This window comes from Homo sapiens, chromosome 10 (genome assembly GCF_000001405.40).
Source record: "Homo sapiens chromosome 10, GRCh38.p14 Primary Assembly".
NCBI lineage: Eukaryota > Metazoa > Chordata > Mammalia > Primates > Hominidae > Homo > Homo sapiens.
In genome coordinates this window covers 76,974,936-76,999,044 of record NC_000010.11, presented here as the reverse complement: position 1 = coordinate 76,999,044, position 24,109 = coordinate 76,974,936, and the positions used below count along the sequence as shown (strand labels likewise).

At 42.2% G+C, this 24,109-nt stretch overlaps 1 protein-coding gene and 1 long non-coding RNA gene across 54 annotated transcripts in view; one reads left to right on the top strand and one right to left on the bottom strand.

Annotated features, from left to right (window-relative positions):
- KCNMA1 (potassium calcium-activated channel subfamily M alpha 1) overlaps positions 1-24,109 on the top strand; it is a 768,207-nt gene that overhangs the window by 638,764 nt on the left and 105,334 nt on the right. The window lies entirely within an intron of this gene.
- The window catches only part of KCNMA1-AS1 (KCNMA1 antisense RNA 1), a 90,550-nt gene continuing 86,892 nt past the window's right edge, over positions 20,452-24,109 (bottom strand). The window contains exons 3-4 of the long non-coding RNA NR_120655.1: positions 21,241-21,435; positions 20,452-20,603 (exon numbers count right to left, since the gene is read on the bottom strand). This is a non-coding gene — a long non-coding RNA (KCNMA1 antisense RNA 1). The remainder of the gene's footprint in view (positions 20,604-21,240; positions 21,436-24,109) is intronic.

Sequence of the window (24,109 nt, the reverse complement as noted above, 5' to 3'; positions counted from 1 at the left end):
TTGGGCTGCGTGTTGAAGCCTTAACTGGTATTGACAGCTCAGGGGGCGATTTGCCTTCTCCGTTTCATCAGTCGTCCTGCCGTCATCACTCCATCAAACAAAAGCAGATTTCATCCATCCCTGTGTGAGACCACTCACCTTTGACCATTAATAATAAGTTAGAAAAATCCATTCCAATTTGAGCCCCTTTTTGGGCCTGCATAAGCCCTTCTTCTCCAATTATAAAAATGTCTGTCTCTATGTGAAATTCCACTGGCAGTGCTCCAATAGCAATCCCCAGGCATCCCTCGCTGGTGGTGGAGTTGGGTGGTGCCCATTTGACAGAGCAAGTTGACTCAAGAGCAGTGGTGAGAGTGGGCTTTTCATTAAATATGAACAGATGTGAAATGTAGAGGGTTTGACAATTAGAAATGGCAGGAGAAGGGCCCTTGAATCAAAGTGAGGTCAGATGGGCGGATCAGATTACTTCTCTTACATTCTTTAGTTGTTCTGAAAATCATTTTGAATTAGTGTCAGCAGAGCCATGATGAGTTTTGCCCTTTGTCTTTTATGCTAGGGCTGTATTGTTTCCCAAGACACTCATTAAAGGTCATTATACTATTATGGAGCTTGCTTTGGTCGCAGTTTCCCAGTTGAGCCAGTGTGCTTTGGAGACTGCCTAATTCATTTCTCTCTTTCCTTTCGTTTCCCTCTTTACTCTATTTTTTTTCTTATAAGGGGAAAAATTTCCGTTTTCAAGGGATGTTAAATTGAAACACAAAGTCCCATTATGTGTTTTGTGAAGTGGGAAGAGAAGTAGCTGGTTCCCAGAGGAATGGTAATATATTAAAAGTGCTCACACAGTTCTGAAAACCTGCCTTCTAACAACAGGGGCTGCCTGCTCGGTGCACCCCTCTATGGAGGTGTGGCCCATTACTGTGGATCGGTTGAGTCATGTGCTATTATGATAGTTGTCTTCTGTTGAACTCAGGAGGAGATGGAAGGCCAGACTGTGTTGACCAAAAGAACTTCAGAGGGGAAGGACTAGTTTAGGAAAGACAAAAATCAAAATAAAAGGTGTCAGAAAAGTAAGGCAAATTGTGACCGATAAGGATTCATCACAAAAGGATTTTATTTCTGGCAAGACTGAAATGTTCAATATGGTAGGCTAGAATCAGTGCATAGAGTGTCATTTTATGATCATCTTGGTTTTGTTTCCACTTCAGATGGTCCTGGGCAAGAGTCCCAGCTCTCTCAAAAGACATCAGGATGGTATGGGCCTCGGCTTTTTCACAAGTAGCTGTGTTCTAGTACTATTAAATGTAAAAAATGAATGTCTAGCAACATACACATGCACATAAATATAGAAGTAGATTCCAATCAGTACGATTTCTTCCCACTATAATTTTGTAAAATGGACCTTTCTCTCTCTTTAGAAGTTTATTCTTGTTATTTCAGTCTTGCCTGCTATCTGATTGCTAAATGTAATAGAAAGGGACAATTAAAATTATGATGCAGTGGCAACGTAGGGCCATACTGATTCAGACCTGCTGAGACCTGCCTGACATGATTCTAGTCACAAAGCATCAGTAACTCTGGCACAAACAAATTAATCCTGTGGTAGAAGAGAAGCAGACCTTTAGACTTGCACTTGGAACCAGCTTTAGCTAAAGTACATGTGTGATTGCTCACACCAACCTTTCAATTTACTAATTGTTTAAACCTGCACAATTACATGCAGCCTTTTGCAAACTACTGTAGCTAATTTTAAATTACACATGACTTTTATTTTGGGTATAAATATAATACAAGAAGGCATTCAACTCCGATGGTTAAGCTGAGAGAAGTCCAATATGATTAGGTTGAAGGGAGACGTACCAAAATCAGTTTAGTGTAATATCGAGTCTTGTCAGATAATAAACAAAAATCAGCTTATCCTGAGTAGCCTTTGGTTTGTGCAGACAGAGAATTAACATTGTCAATAGAACTAAAGTCACTTAAGTGAACTAATGGCATTTTGAAGTACATAAAATCAGATACAAGGGCAGGGGGTGGAAACAGCTCTAGGAAAATGTCTATAATAGGACACACCCTATCCTGACAGTCTCCAACGCCTGTTAAAGGAGAGTTAATTTAATAAGCTACATTTAAAAATCAACAGCCTATAATTATCTCATTCCTTTTATGTGCAGTTTTAGGTGACTTCCTCAAATTCCCCAAACCTAAATTCTATTTGCTTATTTTACTTCTGGGCCCTAAAATCAATTACTCCCCTCTTTCCACCACCACTACCAGTGAGAAAAAGACAGAAAAAGGAGAGCCAAGGATAATAAGCACGAATCGATGTGATCATAGTTTTTCATGTATTAGTTTTAAAGCCTGTTCGTCTGAGTCTCCATTTTCTCCCATCTTCCCATGCTTGCCGTGCTGATGTGAGTGCGCTCTCTCTCTCTCTCTGTGTCAATATCCATCACACATGTGCACACCAAACACTACCAGAGCCTTTGGGTTGTCCCCTGGCTCTTTAGTTACCCTGGCCCATGCGTCTTGATTTGACCCTTTGTACTTCATTGCAGGAAGTAAAAACAGAGTGGCAGATCGGCCTAGGCAGCCACTGGGTCATCCCCTGTGACTAAGACCTAGTGATGGGCCTGGAAGGGGCTTCTTAAGACACTCTTATTGGTAGCAGGTGAGGCTACAGAAGCCACTGCCTCTTGCTTGATTTTGTGATAGCCACGCTGAGCCATAGGTTGACTGGAAATATGCCTTACTGTGGGCCTTAGCTCACTCTGTGCAGTGGGCAGCTTCTTAAATCAGCATTGTAAGGCAGAAATCATGCTTGGGCAAAATTGCCTTTGAGAAGGATCCTTTACATCGCTCATCTGTCAAGAGCTCCCAACACACTGGGTTCTTCTCCAGAATAAATAGCTGGTTGTTTCAGTTGAGTGTCAGGTAAAGTCACTGGCTTGTATTTGGGGACCTTGTTGTGCTTTCACCACCTTCCAAAAAAAGAGTATGGTTGAATTCCTGAAGATGAATACACTATGAAGATGTACTGCAGGTAGATGAAAGGAGACGGGAACAGTAGGCAAAAGGCAGCCAACTTCTCAAAAGAAATTCTTTGAAACAGGATTGGGAAACAAGAAGGAGAAAGGTCAGAATGAGGGAAGCTGACAGGGTCCTTTGTGTATACCCCATCATGGGACACCTTTCTTCCCAGGGACACCATGCTGTAATAAATGACTCGGCTCTTTAAGGACAAACTAGAAAAGATGTTGGCATGCCTCATGTAAGCCCAGAAGAGGCCCTTATGCAAGGTGACATAGAAATTATGTTTGCTTTTTTATTTCAGGACAGTGGCCGGTTCTCAGGATACTCATCCTGACAGCTTCTACCACCAGGCAGTGAATGCTTCCTCTTACCTCCATGGTGGAGGGCAGATGTGGCCAGTTAGCTCCTCATCTTCCATCCTCCTCCACTATCTCAGGCGACAGATGCCAGGGCCAGCCCGCCTTCCACTTGAGCTTTCTTGTCAAGGCTCTGCCTTGAGCCCAAATCCTGACCTTTACTGTATGAAATAAAGTACTGATGAACAAGCAGAGGTTTGAATTAGAGCAGGCTTGGAGCAAATGTCAAGTCCGTCTCTGCCTCTTTCCTCCACCTGCACCAGGAGCCTCGATTAGACCCAGTGTGGAGTTTGCAGCGCCTTAGGCTTTATGGGTCTGGGGAGACATAACTTATTAACAAAGAGTTATTAAATTTTTATCAATTTTACAACACAATGTAAATGCCTCCTATGAATCTACATTGTATTCATTATCATTTAAAACGTTAATTAAGTCGAAGTTGCATTTAATTTCTCTCTAAATGGGCCTCTGGGAAGACGCTTTTAGAAACATCTGTGGGAGCGTGCGGCTCACGGAGCTGGAGAATCCCCCAGCCCGCATTCAGGATCGCCCCCTGAGTTGATTGCTATCACGTGTCTGTGGCTAATTTGTTGTGATGTGATTGGGTATTGTCTCAAATTAGTATCAGACCAATAATGGTGTGAAGTCACTCGAGAGAGGCTTGTGGGGCAGTGGCACAGGCTTCACTGCATCCTGCCTTCCTTCCCCATCCAGACAGAAACGGACAGTGGGTCTGCAGCACCTGTGGTTTCCATCATGCCTTGGGATTCTCCTTCTCATATGGTGCCCATCATTTCAGTTGGATACTTCCTTCATCGGAGATGGATGCTTGTCATCTGGCCCAGCACATTTAGGACATTTGCCAGCATGCTCTTCAAAACGATCTTAACATTTGGGATCTTTGACTCCCAGTGAAGCCTAGAAGCTGCAAGCACAGAGCAGCCAAAAATGGAAACCAGAATGGAGTGGACCTAGTAATCATAAGCAGGTCATGCTCATTGGTGAGGAGAGACAGAGGGAGGCATACTACCAACATTTGCTGAAAAATTATGTTTCTCTTTTGAGGCTAGCATCATGTTTTAGTCTTATCTGAGCATGGGGTCACTCCCCAAAGAGATCTATATTCTGTGTATACTGCATCACCAAGGGAGTGAGACTTGTTGACACAGCATTACTAAGAAATGGCTAGTTGGTTAACTTGGATTCATGTTACGACTAGAATTAGTGTAGTCTCTACTCTTACTGTGTGCAAGCAACTCTGAGTACACAGGGAGGATGTGTGTATGTGTTGTTGCTGTTGTTAAATTTAACACTTATATAGCATTTGCTGCATTACAGGCACTACTCCCCCTATTACCACAAATATTAATTAATTTAACCCTTATTATGTGGTAACTGCTGTTTGCAGTTGAGGCAACTATAACCTGAGACATCTGCAATGTGCCCCATTTACAGATAAGGCAACTAAGGCACAAGGGTCTCATAGCCAGTGAGTCTGGCCAAGGGTCTCATAGCCTCATGTCACAGTCTCATGACTTGCCAAGGGTCTCATAGCCAGTGACTGGTGGAGCTGGGATTTCAACACAGGCCGTGTGGCTCCACAGAGTGTGGAGTCGGTTGAGTTGCTCAGTTACTCTTGCAGTTGAATATGATGGATAAGTCACTTAATCTCCAAGGGAGGAGAAAAAAGTGAGGATTCTGGTAATGAAACCTCGAGATAATGTAGAGAGTCCTGGGGGGGCCTCCTGCACAGCAGCTGGCCACCCAATTTGGCTAGAGTTTAAGACTTACTTAGCATGCAGGGAATTGACCCCCCTGAAGGGTAAAATGGGGCCCCATTCCTGGCAGGGGCCAGGCCAAGGGTTTTGTTCTTAGTCTGTAATATGATAGAAAGTCTTTAGACAGTGCGACACTATCATATTGGTGTTTGATCAGGGAAGTGACCTAACAGAGGCTTTGTTTTGGGAGGGCTGCTGTGGCTGCAGGGGAGGAAGGGACTGACTAGAGGGGAGCTGGAAGCCCCCCTCTCGGGGAGGAGACAAACAGAGGGGAGCCTGTTGTGGGCGGGCCCCAGCTGTTCTGAGAAGCCTTCAGAAGGAAGACTTGATCTATAGTCTGCAGGACCCTGCAGGTGAAGCACATTGCCCAGATGCAAATCCAAGAAGTTACAGTCTTTAAAAGACAGTTTAATTAGTGGCTCTGGAGCAGCTGAATTCCATGAGCCTAATTCTCCCCAGCTGACCTGGCAGCCATTGTGATTCCTAGCTGGGTTTGCTAGAGTTTCCTTCTTATTGGAGGAAGATTTCCTGACCCCTGACCCAGGACTAGGAGACCCACTCGGCTGCATCCACTACCACTGGCCTTGGGGATCTACTGCTTCTGTTTCCTTTTCCTAACCATTATTTCTTCCTTATTCCTCATCATCTTCCCCAGTTCAAATATATCTTACATCTTGAGTGTGTTGAAGGTGACAGGCAGGCAGCTCTCACCTGCTGGTGTGAAGTATTGGCTCAGGCTGAGCAGCAGACACAAAGCAAGTGGGAGCCACCAGTGGGGACAGCTGGCCAGCGCTGAGGCTCTTGCTTCCAGCTGCAGGTGGTAGCTTCAGTTAGAGCTCATGGGAATTATTCTTTAAATCCCTGTATATGGCAAGGAGACTTTTCTCCTCCTTTCTCAGGAAGTCAGCATGTCTCCTTACATCGATGGGGGGAAAATAATAAAGTGCTTCACATCCCATTCACTGAAAATCCACTGTAGTTTTCAAACACTTAACCTTCTCGAGTGGAAATACAAAACACATTTCCTGTGAAGTACTGCCACACAGAGTCCTAAAGAAGTCATGTGGCATTTCTAAGTATCATGCACAATTTTCTTTTCGGTTTTACTGCTTTGTGCATAAGACCTTTGTCTGTGTCCTTACTTATGTCAGCATCCGTGATTGTGGCATTTGTGTACACCATTGACCTCAGGGGGTCATTAAAACTGCATGGAAAAGCACTTGAGTCCTGGGTTCCCTCATGGTGGTAGGCTGTGCATGCTGAGAATGCCAACTTCTGGAAGTGCAATGTGGCAAAATGCACCAAGCCAACCAGCTGTGTGTTGTCCTTCTCTCTCTGGGGCTTTCTCCCAAACCAGCTTGTTGAATTACCTGGATAGTCAGGGGACCCTCCATCGCCACATCTGCTTACAGGGGTTCTGCTTCCCCAGCTGACCTTTTTCCCAAAGGGAATCTAAATGGACAGAGCTAAATCCAGCATTGTCAGACCCTTGCATTTGAAATCTCAGAGGGAATTGCAAAGGCCTTTCTGTAAATAGCTAGATAGTGCCTGCTTTGGAGGGAGATTGCTACACATGCCCACAGATTTTTATTCTGAGGAGACATTCTTTTGATGTCCAGCTCAGATGAGCAGGACTAACAAAAGTGGCCTTTCTTCTCAGACCATCTCATTTGGTCATCCTCAGGGGGAGCTAATCTCTCATATTCAAGGGAAACAGCAAGAAAAAACTCCCCCAGCCTTTTCTAGTAAATCTGAAAGTTTTCATTCTAGCCCCTTCAATACCGCAAGATGAGTCCCACCAAATGTTCCTAGAGCTGCAGAGAAAACCCTATGCAAATAGAAAATGGAATCTTTTGAGGCAGATCTGCATTAGGGATGATCGACTGCACTGAGAGACTTATAAATGAAGTGAGAAAGACTCCAGCCCTAGAGCTGGCACTGCACCAGCTGTATCGACAGTGCATAGATGGGCATCTGCACACCATAGAGCATGGGCTATCTTCTGGGAAGGGAGCTGACTGCTTGCATTAAAATGATCTTCATTTTGGCCAATGTCAGCTTTCTGGGCTGGAGCCTGTTGGATCACACTCAGTCAAGAAAGGACCCAGGGGCTGCCTTCCCTCCCTCCAAGGTCAAAAATGTAGCATGCTGACATCCTTGGCTGGGCTTCCTATATTGGCAAGAGTACTTGAATAGGAAATGGCCTGAAGGATTCCAGTTCAGTAAATATTTCATGAGTAAAAGAATGAATAAATGAAGGGCTTCCCAACCCTTAAAGGAATTGGTGATGTGCTAGAAGCCAGATCGCCCTAGATCCATGAAGCTTCCCAAAACTTTCTAAGCAGCAACTTACTATATAGTATATATATGTAAACATAAAAAACTGGGATGTACAAGAAGAGTAAGAGGGAAAAATGTAGTAAGAAAGAACAAGGACATGACTGAAGGAACTAGAAAATGATCAAATGGCAGGTGCAATTGATATTCTTTGTGAAGGATAAATTATGGGAAAGAAGATCTGGAAACAAAGTACCAGAAAAAACCACATAGGCAAAAATCCACCAATGCTTCCAATGAGGAGTGGCAGGGTTACTACCACATATAGAGCATTTGCTCTGGAAAATCAAGGACTTGTGACATTCACATTCAGTTTTATTAATTTCAGCAAACCTGATTATTTTGGTGTGAGTCAGGGCAGCATAAAACCAATGCATTGGGCAGGGCTCATGTGAGGAAAGGAGTCTGTTGTAGCTAGAGAGGTGTCAGCATCTGCAGGTGGGCACATCAACCTGCCCAAATGTAGAGCAACATTCGAGGCCTTTTATGGCGGTCAGGGTAATTTGACTCTGACTCGAGGTAGGCAGCTTGAATGCAACAGCAGCACCCAAATGATTCCTCCCGCGTGGAGGTATCCAAAAGCTGAATGTCTCATAGCTATTACCTATTAGGAGCCATTATTCTGTTTGTTCTGCTCAAGCCAAGGAAGAGTTTTCCTGATTGTTCTCAAAGCTCTCTCAGGCTGCACCAAGCATTCCCTTACCTTTGAATGGTTCTGAAATGCTCTCTGCATTTTGTCAAGGCTGATCTGGCCATTTCTTCAGTGCAGATGAGTAAATTTCCACATATGGCCTGTAACGTATCCAACTGAGAGAACATATCCAGCAGGGATGCTTCAAAACCAAAGCCCTAAACAGATGTTACTGAGAAGGGATGCACAATGACCTGCAGAGAAGAGAGATGCTAGGTGAAAATAAAAGCTGCAACTATGCTAGGAATGAAGACAGGGAGGAAGGGGCTCAGGTCATGTCACAGGGTCTGGAAGTTAGGGCATGAATGTGAAATTTGCAAGGGGCTGGTTGCTGGAAACACTGCTCCTTCACAAACATCTTCTATTAAGATGAAGATGGGAAACAGGCAGACATCTCCTGTATTTCCTCCTCTCTATGTTAGGGGATTCTGATGCCATTCCCCTCACTGTGCAGTGAACTGAGAGATCTTGTTGGCAATTACAGCCTGAAATTCTAGGAAACGTCAGAGCAGGCAGATACAAGGGTGAGATCTGTGAATTTTCTGGAAACTTTGGAAGTAAGTCCTGGTGAAGTCATGCTTTGACATGTTCACCAAGTAGATGCTCATGGCTATAATAAGAGTAATGTCTTATGTGTGTTTGAGTCTTTGTGCTTCTCAAGGCACCAACATCATCTCATTTCATCTAGGCATCCCCAGCATAGACATCATGTCCTACTACCATGTGACTTTGAGTAAGTTCCAGAACTTCACTATTTTTTAGCTTCCTCATCTATAAACTGGAGATAATAAGGACCTATCTCACAGAGTGGTTGCACGAATTCAGTGAGTGAATATATATAAAGATTGCCTGGTATATGTTGAATTATTATTTTTATCATCCTTCATTAACATATGAAATTAACAAAGAAACAGAGATGAACTTGACCAAGATCACATAGCGGATGAGTGGACTGCTAGATCAGAAGCTTGCCATCTCCCATAGTATTGATGGAAATAATAATGATAAGCCACTTTAACCATAACTAGTGCTTTTTTTTTTTTCAAATGACTGACTGTCATCAAGCTAGCCTTATAAGAGGTCATATCAGCTACAGGCAGAGAAGCCCACAGATAGTGGCTGAGAGTTGAACAGCTTAGTATAACAGACTATAAAAGTTAAATGGAGTCAATTTGTTTAATTTCTAGGTCATGGAATAATTGTCCCAACAGAAATAAGCCAACAAAAATACCAAGAGACAGCTATATCTCCCCAGAACATTGATTTCCATCTTGACTATCCAGTAGGCCTTGCAAAATTTGTGTGTAAAATGAGGAAATTGGAAGGTCATATTTCTAAGTTTCCTTTAAACTCTGAGACTCTGATTATCTTCCTTCTTCTGATTGAGAAAGGCTAAAAGTCCTTTTTGCTTCAATCCTTACTGTTATAAATCCTTCTAAAATGCTGATGTCTATTACCCAACATCGTGGTAGGTCCTGTGAGGAACAATTATGTGTGTAGAAACCTCGTAGTATATCAGTGTTAGTCTTCTGTCTGTGAGTTCGCAGCTTCTAGGGCAGGAACTGGGCGCACAGGGACACACCGAAAGAGCCCAGAAGATTCTTACAGGTTTCTACTTTATTGTCAGCTTGTTTTCTTCCAAGGTGTCTTTTATTTTCCTCAAGGAAAGCACAGAAAAAGGCCCTCTCCCTAACCCGGGGTCCTGGTATTATCTATGCTCCAGTGATTTGGGGGTTATTAGTAATCAGAACATTGTCAGCTACTGAAGCTATCCCAGACCAGTTCATATGCAGTGTCTCTACAAATGGCCCTGCCCTCCCACAATGAATGCTAACTGTTGACCTCCCCAAAGAGCCTCCTCATCATATTTGTTACACCTTGTTTTGTTATTGCCAGGTCTCCAGGAATGAAATCGTGTAGCAGGAAGCATATAGGGCCAAACGGGGACACCATCTCCAGGCAAAAGAGGCTTCCTAGTTGGAATAGTACAGATTTGATGGATGAAAATAAATGTGTGTCTTAGATTTTAGCCCAGCTGTTAGAATCCTTAGGTCCTGGGATCATTAGAAAACTGTGACTTCAGGTCTCATCATTCCTCATCCCCCTGAAACCCCTTCTTTATGGCTTGTCCATCCCTAAAATAGGTCTGGAGATCGTCAGCAAATTCAATGTGTTTTTGGGAGAGGGAGGGAAAGTTGGAACACAAAAAGAGGAGAACAGATGGGGAAAGAAGACATTCCTGTCCTTTCAAATTCCATCAAAATTTCTTTTTTGATGATGGTCTTGATCTCAACTCATCTTTTTCTGTTGTTATTGTTGTTTTTTGAGATGGGACCTCCTTCTGTCACCCAGGCTGGAGTGCAGTGGTGTGATCATAGTTCACTGCAGCCTTGAACTTTTAGGTTCAAGCAATCCTCTCACCTCAGCCTCCCAAGTAGCCAAGACTACAGGCGTGCACCACCATGTCTGGCCATATCTTTGAGGTCCAGTTGGTGTTGAGACTTCACATCATCACCTTTCCTACCTTGCTTTATGAGTAGCTGGGCTCTGTTTCTTGTTGATTTTGTAATTAATTAGATGAGTGCTTGGAGCAAGGCCAAGACTGGGCCCAAGTTTTTCACCCATGCCTTACCACTATCCCTTTCTTTCAGCAGACCTGATGTGTGGATAGGTCTAGGGATGAGTGGAATGAGTATCAATATGCACATTTGAAATTCTGAGTTTTACCCTGTAACACTCTCTCTTTCCTCCTACCGATGGCCAAGTCCTCTGATTTGGCCTCCAGATTACATTTCGAACCTTTTCTCACCATTGCCAGTGGCACTGCCAAGCTCACATGCTCATTTCTTCTTCAGCTAGTCTGCCATTGTTGCCCTTCAACCTTTCAATTAGTTCCTCTTGCCACCAAACCACCACCAACTTTAGTATTCTAAAGCACAGACTTTGTCATGTTATCCCATTTTAAAGAGAGAGACCTTTTGATGGTTCCTTGTTTTTTAAGAGGATAATTTCCAACTTTCTGCTATTAAAATGGCATTCAAAGCCTTTGCAGTTTGGCCTCAACCAGTTTCCCTAGTTCCGTTCTCCACATAAGCATCCATCATCTAACAATTCTCTAGAAGCGTCTTATTCTCATTACTTTACACATTTCTGGAACCTTTTCCTGAGACTGTGATTCTTTTCCTCTCTGCTTCTAGCAGATTAAAACTTACCCATCCTTCAGAGCAGGGGTCAGCACACTGTCCCATGGGCCCAGTCTGGCCTGCCATCCATTGTAGTAAGTAAAGTTTCCTTGTAACATAGTCACTCCCATTCATTTGCTCAGTGTCCATGGCTGCTTTCAGGCTACAACTGCAAAGCTGAGTAATTGTAACAAAAAGGGTATGGCCCAGAAAGCTCAAAATATTTACTATCTGGCCTTTTAGGGAAAAAGTTGGCCAACCTCTGCTGTGAAGGTACAGCTCAAGTACTGCCATCTCTGTGAAGCCTTCTTAACTAGCCCACCCGGAAACCAAATTAGAAAAAGTGAATCTCTTTTCTGTAAGCCTGTAACATTTCATGTAAACCCCATTAGACAGTTTTTATGTTGAGGTTTTTGTAGAAGTCAAAATTGGTCTTTGAATTCTTAGCATATTGCACACAGTAACCAAGACACACAGTGTGAATTCAATAAATGGCTGATTAACATGTAAACTCTGTTGACAATATGTTTCCATAGTTTATTAAGCATGTATCTCAAGGAAAAAGGTCTTTCATGAGAAGCTGAACCAGAGGCAAAAAAAAAAAAAAAAGTCTCAAGGCTAGAGATCTTCCTTTCTTCCTTCTTGTTCCTTTATACCTTCTTGAACAGAACCTTTGTTTCTGAACAGCCAACAGCCAATTCCTTTGACTGCTGGACAACTCTTGAATAGATTGATCTCAAATTGATCACTGCTTCTTCTGAAGGTAACACATTTGTTCCGTTGTTTCTGCTGACAGCACATGGTGGGCTCTGTAGTGGATCTGGGGGTGCTGATGTTTTCTCCTTCCATATGTCATTGGGTATTTGAGTCGGGGTAGGAAGCCATGGCAAACCCATTGCTTCTGTTCATCCACCTATGTTTCCTTATTGATTTGAATTTATCCCAAATAAATTTGGATATTTAAGGCAGGGTGTGCACCTTTAATTGTTCAGACCCTAGCCAATGGCCTAGACCTTATCTCACTGGACTAATACACAAGCTAACACTAGGAGTTATATCTAGGCAGGGTAAGCCCCCAACTCGAATCTTGACAGCCCTGAACCCCACCAGATTCCCCTTCACCCTTTGCATCTGTCCAGAATTGCTCCTGGAAACCCTGTCTCTCCAGAGTGAGTGGTAGCCAGCTGAGATGGGAGATGGGATGCCCATGGCCTATGCCTGAGACCCTCCTAGTCAAGCTCCCTGTCTGGATAACTGGAGACACTTCGTTCTCAAAGCAAGCATTGTGACATTTGGTTCTCTTCACACATGTGCCTTACCCAGCTTAGACAGATGGAAGAATTGAATGTAAAGAGATTCTACAGAATGTATTGGAAATAACAAAATTGTGTATGTGTGTTTTTAAAGGATACCCTTTTGGTTGCCGCATGAGTTATTTTGTTGTTGTTGTTGTTGTTAGAGATTAAATCTCAATAACTTTTTGGAATTAGAATGGGCTTCCCATCAGCTGAATGGGCTACACACTCGCCTCCTTTTCATAGCAATCCAAGAACTCCACTGCCTTCCTCACATCCCCTGCTATGTTATCAGCATGGTAGTTTTGCTTGAGATCAAATCAGGGCAACATAGGAACTGTCATTTTTCATTTACCGGGGCCCTTTGATCCCATTTGAGGTTTATTTGTTTCAAGTGAGAAACACAATCCCTATTGCATACATCTATTCTTTAGAGTACTTTTTTATTTTATTTTTTTATGTTAGAGATCAAATCAGAGTTGTAAGTAGTATGGTCATTAGTTATCACCACTAGATTTCACAGGCTACACTTTATTTCTGTTCTTACAAAATCACCAACCTTCTCTGTTGCATAATGATCACTTCCAGTGAAGCCACAATGTGCCTTTCTTGGGTACTTGGGTGTTAATTTATTTCACAGTTTCCTTTGCAGATGCAATCAGAGTCACCTATCACATTCCTGTTTCTGCTTTTTATTGTGTTCCTTTGCTATCGCGTTTGTGTGATCTTTTCCTGAAAAATGACAGGTAGTGTTTCTCTGCTCACTGTATCAGTGACATATTTTCCACAACTTCTCTATTGCTATTTTAAAAATATAACATTTTATAGATGTAATCTTAGTTGTTTGTAACTAGGTTTTGTTATAGGAGCAAATTTCCTAAATGGCATGTTGGTTTAGGTACATTTTTTAAAGAAAGGGAAAAATATTTTCTGCAAAATAGTTTCCTCTAAATTGTAAGTGAAGGAAAAGCTCTGTTAGTAAGATTATAATGCATTTTCCTGATTTCTTAGTACATCGAAATTCATGAACATTATTTTTATGTAAGTGATTAAGTTGTGGCTTTTAATAACACGTTGTTAGAGCAAAAAGAGCTATCCCTTTTGATTTACTTGTGTATTTACTGGGTGACTTACAGTGCTTTACATATTAGAATTGGTTTGTCAACAATTAACATTCTAGGTTTTTATATAACCCATACTTCAGGTAATATAGGATTATTAAACTACAACCAGTGTGTTAGAAATCTGCCTACTGGTAATACAATTCTTACGTATAACAGCAGCTGAGAAATACTGCTGTGTATTTATGCATAGATTGCAAGACAGATGGCCTGCAAGCCGCAGAAGGGCCTGACATGCAGGTCCACCAGCAGGTGGCGCTGCTTTTCTAGAAATAAACCCTCTACCTGGATTCTAGGTACTCTCCTCCTCCTCACTTTCTGCCTTTTCTCTTGCAGATTGTCTCCTTTATTTCTCTAAAATAAATATCTAAAACTGTTGTTGCTGTTGTTTGAAGAGATATACTTCCAGTACGACAATGCCCCTCAATTGCTAAGGTTTATTTGAAATCCAACTTGCCTGATGCAGTGCTTACTTGAAGCAAGTCCAAGTTAAATACATGTTACTGTTTTTAAAAGGTAACTACACACACAATACTGGATTCAGCACTGAGATTGGATTGCCTATGCTATCTGATTATTGTTATGTGGCAAGTTCCCATTTTAATCTAATATCTATTTACACAAATTAATCCCATAGGCTTCTATTCACCTCAGGATAATGAGGGGCATTTTTATTAAAGTGACTGATTGATATACTGAATTAATGTTTTATATAAAAATCACCTTAGTATGATGTTCTTTCATCAAGAGTTACTCTAGAATCCAGGCTGGGTGCAGTGGCTCACGTCTGTAACCCCAGAACTTTGGGAGGCTGAGGCGGGCAGATCACTTGAGGTTAGGAGTTTGAGACCAGCCTGGCCAACACGGTGAAACCCCGTCTCTACTAAAAATACAAACATTAGTCAGGTGCCTATAATCTCAGCTACTTTGGAGGCTGAGACACTAGAGTTGCTTGAACTGGGAGGTAGAGGTTGCAGTGAGCCAAGATTGCACCACTGCATTCCAGCCTGGGAGCCTGGGTGACAGAGCGAGACTCCGTCTCAAAAAAAAAAAGTAAATAATAATACTAATAAAAGAGTTGCTTTAGAATCCAAGTCATCCAAAGAATATTGCCTTTCTCTCGGGGCCAGAACTACATTTTGACAAACAGGATCAGAGTTTCTGTTAAGTTTTGTTCTGTTTTTTAGGAAGACTTTTCACAGAAAAGTTGATCAGCTCATCAACTAGGGCATCATAAATGAAGAGAGAAATCAAATGTGCAAGCAAAACTATTTTTAAAAATTATTTTGTCCACACATACCCAATTTTTCAACCGTTTTTTAAAAAAGACACAGCTATATCTTTTTACTGTTTTTTTTATGGTCTGCGGTATTCCTTTGTACAGAATATTTAGTGCAAACATTAGCTTATGTGGGAGAAAATGAATTTATTGAGGTTACAGAAGGGGAGAATTGAAATATGTCTCAGGATGACTCACTTATTTGTTTATGTTTTTCATTATTAAATTTTCTTCCTTTTTTTTTTTTTTTAAACAGTGTCTCACTGTGTCATCCAGGCTGGAGTGCAGTTGTGCGATCTTAGCTCACTGCAACCTCTGCCTCCCAGGTTCAAGTGATTCTCCTGCCTCAGCCTACCAAGTAGCTGGGACTACAGGCATATGCCACCATGCCCAGCTAATTTTTGTATTTTTAGAGACGGGGTTTTGCCATATTGGCCAGGCTGATCTTGAACTGACCTCAAGATATCCACCTGCCTCAGCCTCCCAAAGTGCTGGGATTACAAATGTGAGCCACCATTCCCAGCCCTTCATTATTAAATTTCTACCTATCAGGCCGTAAAGAACTTTGGAAGCATAGGCAGTATTTTACTCTTTGAATAGGATTTCTCTCTTTTGAGTTTTTAAACTTTTCTCAGGCATACTGCGCTAAGGGCTGCAAGTTGAGGATCTAGATAATGTAATGTATGTTCTTATTTAACTCACCCATGTGATTTTCACAGAGAACATCTTGAAATGTTATTGATTCAACAAAATCAAGGAGGAGAGGATTGGGGAAACATTTTCTTCTCAGTGAATCTATTTTAAAGCACTGGTTTTGTTGAAAATGATTTTTTGAAAATATGGATTGCAGTCAGTTTTCATGTAAAAGTCAAACCCTGACGGGTTTCCTTCCAGTTCTCTGTAGAGGGGATGGGATCAGCTGGAGTAGTTGAAGACAAGAAATAGCCATCCTGAAATCAGGGTAAATTTACCTGGCTGGGCTGTGAGGAATAGGCCTTGTGAGTTTCACGGGACCCCTTTCTGAGGCATTAGATAACTTTATTTTCCTGTTGAATAAGCTCTCCAGAAAAAAAAGAAAAATGAGAACTTCAATGGAACTGGACAGTTGCCAAGGGCCTCCCTGCTTTATTTCCATGCATGAATGTGTGTTTCTTACCTTGGAAAGGAAAGTGGGCTGAGCGAGCTAGGCAGTTTCTGATAGACTTTTGCAAGATGCAAAGCCCACCCACTATCCTCTTTGAACTTCAGTATTTAAATCAGAAGAAAAATAGCTTTCCCAGAGGCTTCAGATTATTACTAAATATTGTGCAAATTCTATCATTTGGAATGTAAACGCTTACACTCTCTGCCCTTTATACCTCCAACTGTGCCCTCAAACACATTTTCCTGCTCTAGCCAAATTGACTTTCTTACAGTTTATACAGTTTAGTATTTTCCAACCACCTTGCCTTGGTTCAAACTGTGTCCTCCACCTGGCATGCCCTTCCCACCCTCTACTGCCACTCCTTAGTCTGTTCAGCATCATGGGTCAAGTGCCCCCTGAGTGCCAGGCCCTGTGCTCCATCTGGGGATATACGGGACCTCTCTATTCATCCTATTCTTGTTTCAAGTCGTCTTCTTTTTCTTCCTTTCTTTTTTTTTTTTTTTCCTGAACAATTCTCTCTCTAGGACTTAACTTATTGTCTAAGACATTTCATGTAGCCCTCCCTTGACATTCTCATGCAACATCTTTTGTACTGTTGCATTTATGTAACTTATGAGTTCGTATATTCGTATTTAATGCAATTATCTAATTTCTCTGGCTAGGCTTGTGGTTCTCTCTTATTGTGCATCTTTAAAAAGATTTTAAAGAAAAGAACAAGAAAAAGGTATGCCCGACATTAAACTCAGAGTCATTACAAATCAGAGCCAGAAGGGTCTCATACTTAACTAATGCTCATCCCCCCAGGAAAGGGAAGTGTCTTGCCAAGGCCACACAGTTGATCCAAGGCAGGCCTAGAACCCCGGGGCTCCTGATCACTAAGCTGTGCTTCTCCCCTTTGCAACATCGCCTCTGTAGCTGCTCGGAGCTATTTATTGGGAACTTTTCAGGGCCCAGCATTGTGAGAGACTCAGTGATATGTGAACTCCAACAGAGGAGCTTATAAGCCTAGCTGGGGGAGTAGAACACATTAGAATTGAACACAAATTATAATAATGCAAGGCATGAGATCAGAAGTGCCAGGGGATTTTTTAAAGAAAGGAGAGAATTGATCTTGTCATAATCATCTGGGAAGGCCCCCTGGAGGAGGCAGCCTAGGCTGTCCCTTCAAGGGTGGTCAAGTAGTCAGGTGAAAGGAAGACATGGTGGGAGAGCCTGGTGAAGGAGTCACTGCCTCTCTACCCCGCCATGCCTCTGCCCCTTCTTCTGTCTCCCATGTGTCTGCACACGCCGATCAATCCCATGACCTCCCAGCAGAAATTCAAGGGAAAGAAAAGAGGCCCTCACAATCAGACGGCGTGAATTTCCTGTAATTTAGAGGAAACAGTGGGGTTCCTCTGTCCCCATCTGTCTTTCATTTGTTCTTGCCCTGAATGGTTCCAGCCTTCTCCAATTGAGGTCCGTTTAAACGTTTTCTGGCTTTTCTTGTTTTTATGACATTTGGCAAAACCTAATTATTTGACTTGAGCACTTCATTGGGGCCATATGAAACAAGGGACAAAGGTGACAGTTGAATGAGATGCAAGGCTAGGGGTCAGGTGGGGGTGGGAATGCTCACCCCATTCTAAGTGTTGGTTAGCGGCTCAATTGCTTGGGGAAGGAGAGAGAGTATGGACCCATGTGAATTACACCATGTCCAAATGTGGCAGACTGGTGTGGAGAAGGACCCAGCAGCAGAGAACTCTCATTGCTCTGACTCTTCAAAGCCAAGGCAATAATCATGGGTAGCATTTAGAAAGAGCTCACCAGGAATTCTTTTAAGTGCTTTTCACATTTTCAGTCAATTCTCACAACAACCTATTAGATAGGTACTCTAATTCTCATTTTATTGGTGAGAAAACTGAAGTTAGATAATTTGCCAAATACCTAGGTTCAGACCCAACAATGTGGCTTTAAGACCTGTGTGGTTAACTCTTAACCTCTCTACCCACTCAATGTGAGTAGGCATTTGTGGAGGGATATCCCATGCCTTAAAATCTTTATTTCGGGGATGGTACACTTGAGTGTCACTGGTTCCAGGGCCAGAAATGCAAACATGGGGTGTCTGCCCTATATATGGGGGTACAGTAGGCAGCAGTGGGGCATTTGAGCAGCTGATAAGCTCCTGCCCCAGGAGAATGGCACCCTTTTGGAATGAAGACTCAGTCCTCTACAAGATTTTTAATTAGAAGTTAGAAATCCATATTTGTATGGACAATCTTCAGACTTAAAGATTGTCCCACATGTGAAATCCTGTGTATCAGCAGGGTGGTGCCAAGCTCAGCACACTGGGGACAGTAGTTGGTCCTCAGGCTGTCAGCCTGCAGCCCCCTGGTTATGTCACATAATCCCAAAGCATCTCCGAAATTTGGTGTCCTTGGTCCAGTAGGGATCACAGTAGATCGTAGGACATTGAGGTATGGAGTAACTGGTCTGAGATCAGAGCTCTAAAGAGGGTCAGAGCTGGGACTTGGGCAGGTGGACTGACTCAAGAAGCTCATATCCTCATGCTGTTCTCACTCACAGGCAGAATTCTGGCAGCAAATGATCTGAATTAGAAGTCAGCCGACCTGGGTCCTGGGTCAGGGTCTGCGTATGAGTGCAGCTATGACGCAAAAGAGGGTGAGGCCAGAGCATCCCCAAGCCGCTTCCAGCCCTTCTGTTGCACTCCACACCTTGTTCTCCAATGCATTGACCAGAAAGGCCCACCATACACTAGCATTATAAAATATTGCACAGGATGTGTCCGAGGATAAATTATGATAGCATACAGATAAAGATTTTATAGTTCAAGAACATCTATAGAAGGTGATTATGCCCTTAAGAAATATACTAAATGCTGTGTTTAGTGTAAAGTCATAATCCACACTGGTCCTTACCTCCCAAGGTTAAAAGCATACTGTATTTCTAAAGTGTTCTGGCAGAATATTCTTCGTCGGGCACCTGGCTTGCACTAAAAACCCATGCATTTTACCTTTATCTGAGTTTGAAAGAAATTATCAGTGCACCCATCTGGAATATATATTAGAATTCTAGGGGGCTCTTGACACCATTGGCTCAATGGAAGATATGGTATTTCCGGATGAGCCAATAGTAATAATGTTAATAATAATAGTGGTTTGTATTTATATAACATCTTATGGTTTAGAAAACAGTTTCACATATACACAATTAGATTCTAGGCTGGTCTTTAAATATCACAATCATTGGGGCAAGCATTAATTTAAAGAATGTAAACAGCAAAGTGAAAATGGAAATGAAATGTGATTGACATCTTCTGCCAGTCATGGCTATTTGAACCTGTTTGGGGGTGGGGGGAAAGAAAAAGAAAGTAACATTGGTGTCAAAATATGTAAGCAAATAAAAACTTTCACCCCAAAGTGGAAATGTAAATCAACATTGTGTTAACCAGGAGGATTTGATGTGGGATGTGAAATAAAGTCCACGAGAGACCTGACCCCAGCTCTCTTTTCTGTTTCTCACTCTGGGCAGGTGGCAAATCTCAGATTCCTGAGGCAGCATGATCTTTTCTCCACTCCTTGGGATGCCTGACAATTTGTAAATCCACGAGGAAGTGTTTGTTGCAAGGGCCTTCCTTAACAATCTCATGCAAACAGCATGAAGTGATCAAAAGAAATAAGTCTTGTGTTAGATTTGCCTTGTCCAGTTCTGTGGGGTGGCAGAACCAGTACCTCAAACACCTTTGAGAAATGGTGTTCAGGGCTGGAAATTGGGCGAGGTGAGAGAAGCTTTTGCCCTGGGCACCAAATTTAAGAGGAGACCCAAAACCTCAGGAATCAAGATAAATGATAGTTTCATGCAATATTTTCAAACTATCAAAATAAAATATTTTCAAAATAATCAAAATTTAAAAAATCCAGGATGAACAGAATGTCATAATTTTAAGTGAAGACAGTATAAATATTGATTTCAAAGCTGACATTTAAGTACTGAATTCACTAGGGGTGGAAACAATGAGGACACCAGGAAACTAGCAGCTGTAGCCATGGGTGTGAGCCCTTCCAGGGTGCCAGGAGCAGTGTTTGGTATCTTACAGGCATTTTTTTCTTGATACACATCGGGGGACCTGATTTGACCTACAGTAAATCCAAATCTATTTGATTATAAACCGTCTTAGAAAAAGAGTTCCTTTACAGGCTCCATAAATTCCATTACAGTCCACTTTGTCTTTGTTAAATGTATGGGTTGGAAATTACAATTCTTTTATTCACAATGATGATTTTAGACACACAGCTCAGAAAGATCAGCATTCACTTAAAAAATATATTAGCATGCTTGTATCTATTAAGCACTATTGCTTTGTAAGCTCCAGCTGATGATTTTATTAAGTAGACTGCAAAAGGGGAAGAAAAATCAAGGATAATTATAAATTCATAAATACATAATTCATTGGCATAAAATGATTTAATGGAATGGATGTGGAATTATCTATTTCCTCAAGAAAATAACAGAGATATTCTGATTAAGCCTATAATCTTGTGTATGTGAAATTCTAGCCAAACTGATGGGGCACATTTTCTTTTCTGAAACTACCTTTGATAAGAAATGCATTACAAACTCATCAGTTTGGCTTCCTGTTAACAAAGAGACAGCAGCCGTCTGGATCATTCTGGATTCACAGTGAAACTGCCACACCATGTATCCTCCAACTAAAGCTGTGCAAGTTTGACAAGGGGCAGATGAATCCAGGAGTTATTGTGCAGAGGTTTAAATCTATGCGGCAGCTGACGGTTGAAATAATCATCTATATATCGCTCTGAGCTAGCTGGGGAAAGGTTGAAGCTGTATATTTTCAACATATCTAGTCTAATGGTTAATCTGTTGTCTTGTACGGGGCTCTCGCAGGGTGGACTGGCAGCACACGCTGACAGCTTCGAGGAATTGCTCACGGTAGATGTGGTTCGCCTTGCTTTCCAAAGTACTGGGTGGATGAATCTAACTTAGCTTGAGTTGGAAAATGTGAAACTCACCTGACTCATGACCTCAAACACGAGCGGACCAGCAGGGCTAATAGCAGGTTGGGTGGTAGGGACAGTAGAGTCACTAAGCTACCTCTGTTCCTCCCAATGTCCCCAGATCTGTGCACTTCAGGTGGGCTCCACGGGTATTTCTTTTGTTATTTGGCTGTCTTGGCAGGTTGGGAAGAACATTGTTCTTTGTGGAGACTGGAAAGCAAGGGAAATGTGAGAAGATTAAACTACTGCAGGGGTCAGCAAACTTTCTCTGTCAAAGGTCAGCGAGTTAATATCTTAGTCTTTGCAACCCATATGGTCTCTATGGCAAGTCCTCAACTTTGTCGTTAGAGATGGAAGCAGCCAGGGATGGCTGGTAAACCAACAACTGTGGCTATGGTCTGATAAAATTTTATTTATAGCCACCAAATTTCATATCTTTTTAGTGGGTTACCAAATATTATTATTCTTAGATTTTGTTTCCCCAATGACTTAAAAATGTAAACACACTCTTAGCTCATGTGATGTACAAAAACAGGTGGCAGGCTACAGTTTGCTGACCCCTGAACTTGAGAAAGATGAGAAAGAAGCAGCTGTTGGTGCCCAGGATGTGGCAGGTTTCATCCCTACTCTAAAAGTTGTCCCTCACAAACGCGGACTGCAAGTGCTAGGGCAACCTAAAGGAGTCAGGTTTAACTTTTGCCACAAAGCCGAAAGTTGGCTTTTGGTGTCAGGAGTAGGGAGTAGGGAGAGAAGGAAAGGAAAGTTGGGAGGGGCTGTTTGTATTGGACTTCTATACATTCCCCAGCCCTCCCAGTTGGATGTAAAGTAAAAATTATCTCCCATCTCCTAGTACCTTCCCATTCTCCAAACCCCATAGCAAAAATTCAGGGAAGTTCTCGAATTTTTCTTTTCAATTGTGCATTTCCTCTTAGAATTCCATCGTTCATCTCTGTGTCTCATCTCTAAGAAACTAATACCTAGTGATCTTTGCTTGAGACTTTTCTTTGCCCTTGAGGTAATAGAGAGTCTATTCCAGGGAAAAAGAAAAGGGCTAAAGGCAACCAGAAAATTCCAAAAGGATTTTCTACTGAATACTGAACAGGGCGGAGTGTTGGGCAATGATTCTAACAGGTCAAGTCTACAGCGAAGATATATGAGCTGCGATTCTAGATATGGGGGGCTTTGGTACATGCTGAGTTCCTCTCAGGATGCATACAGAACATAGTTTGAGATTGGGGTTGAGGGCCTATGGCATGGGTAGCATGGGCACATCTAATTTACCCAATTGGATTCTAGAGGATCCATTAGGCCCGCAGTATTTTGTAGAGAACACTGCATTCCATGTCATGTGGATTCTGTTCATATATTTATATAGTATTTTTTTTCTCTCTCCTATGGAGGAGCTGAATTCTTTCATTACTCTGTGTTGATGGACTCAAACTTACACAATTCAGGTTTCCTAGGCAGTGAATAGAGCCAGAAATACACCCTGTGATTAACTTCTACATAACCTATTGTTCCTTAAAGTCTCCCTCCCCATTTTCCTATTAGCTCCACAAAAGCCAGAAATGCAAAAGCTCCAACAAGCCTCCCTTCCCTGCCCTGGCAGCCTACCATGGGGTGGGCACTCCCTATGCCTGTCCTAGGGCAGTACAGGTCACTTAGACATTTTTTGAAATTCTTATTCTGCATAACGATAGATTTTTTAAAAACTGATACCCATTAGGTTTTCCAAGTAAATGTGTTTCCTATTTCCTAGCTAGAAGTTGTGAAATTATCCTGCCAGAATAATGTATATGATAATGTGGTTGTTTGATTTTAGAGAGGTGTATATGTTTGAGATATTATGATCGTTGGGGTTGCTTTTAAGGGGCAGCATCTTTCTTCTTTTCCTAATCTGTGGATTAATGTTAGCCGTGATGTCAGAGGTTGCAGTGAACTAAGATAACACCACTGCACACCAGCCTGGGCAACAAAGACCCCTTGTCTCAGAAAAAGAAAATATTAGCCACGATCTTTCAAAAAATAGATTTATAGTTGATTTTTATGAAGAATACTGCAGTGCTTATCAAACTTCTTAGTGATATGTGCTATTCAAGGTTGTCAGGCAAGAAACTCTCATTCCAAGGACATCACCCACTTTAACTCCCCTGCACCCTGATACTGCCCACTACTCTCTGGGCGTAGAACTTGGCTCCATTGCCTGGCTTGCCTGATCCTAGCTGTGCTTAATAGCTCAGCCTCGTCGATGGACACATGGCATTCCCCACCACGGGATCCATCCCGAAACAGCAGTCAAGTGCTCCTTTACAGGAATCATACTACCAAATTCACAGTATGGGTTGTTCAGCTGGCATGTATTATTATTTTTGTGGTTGTTTTCCCATCATCGCTTAAGGAAACAACCACACCCTCTTACCCGTCTGGTTCGTGTGAGAAACAGCCAGGCACCATTCCATCCTCCAATCCAGAGACTGCGCTCTTGTGGCCATGCCGTAAGACTTTGAGAGTTAACTTGCACAAACTTTCTGGTGAAAGTCTTAAACAGTCATATCAGAGAGAGCTTAGGTCAGCTTGGGAGTTTTGTTCATGGTGAATTACATTTTGCAACACGACTGTTGTAAAATTCCAGGAATTTTACCATCACTCCATACCCTTCATTTTAGTAAAACAACATTTGAAACACCCACTTTTCACTGGTGTCGCTGACGGCCGAAGGAAATGCCGTGGATCTGTCTTTCTGAGGAGTGGCAAACTCACGGCATTTAATGTTAGGCACTGATACCACAACTAAGGGGGCTGACCAAGCCGGCAGTTCGAGACAGACAGCAAAAGTTTATCACCAAGGATTGATGACTCGGAATATAATGATTATTCAGTAGAA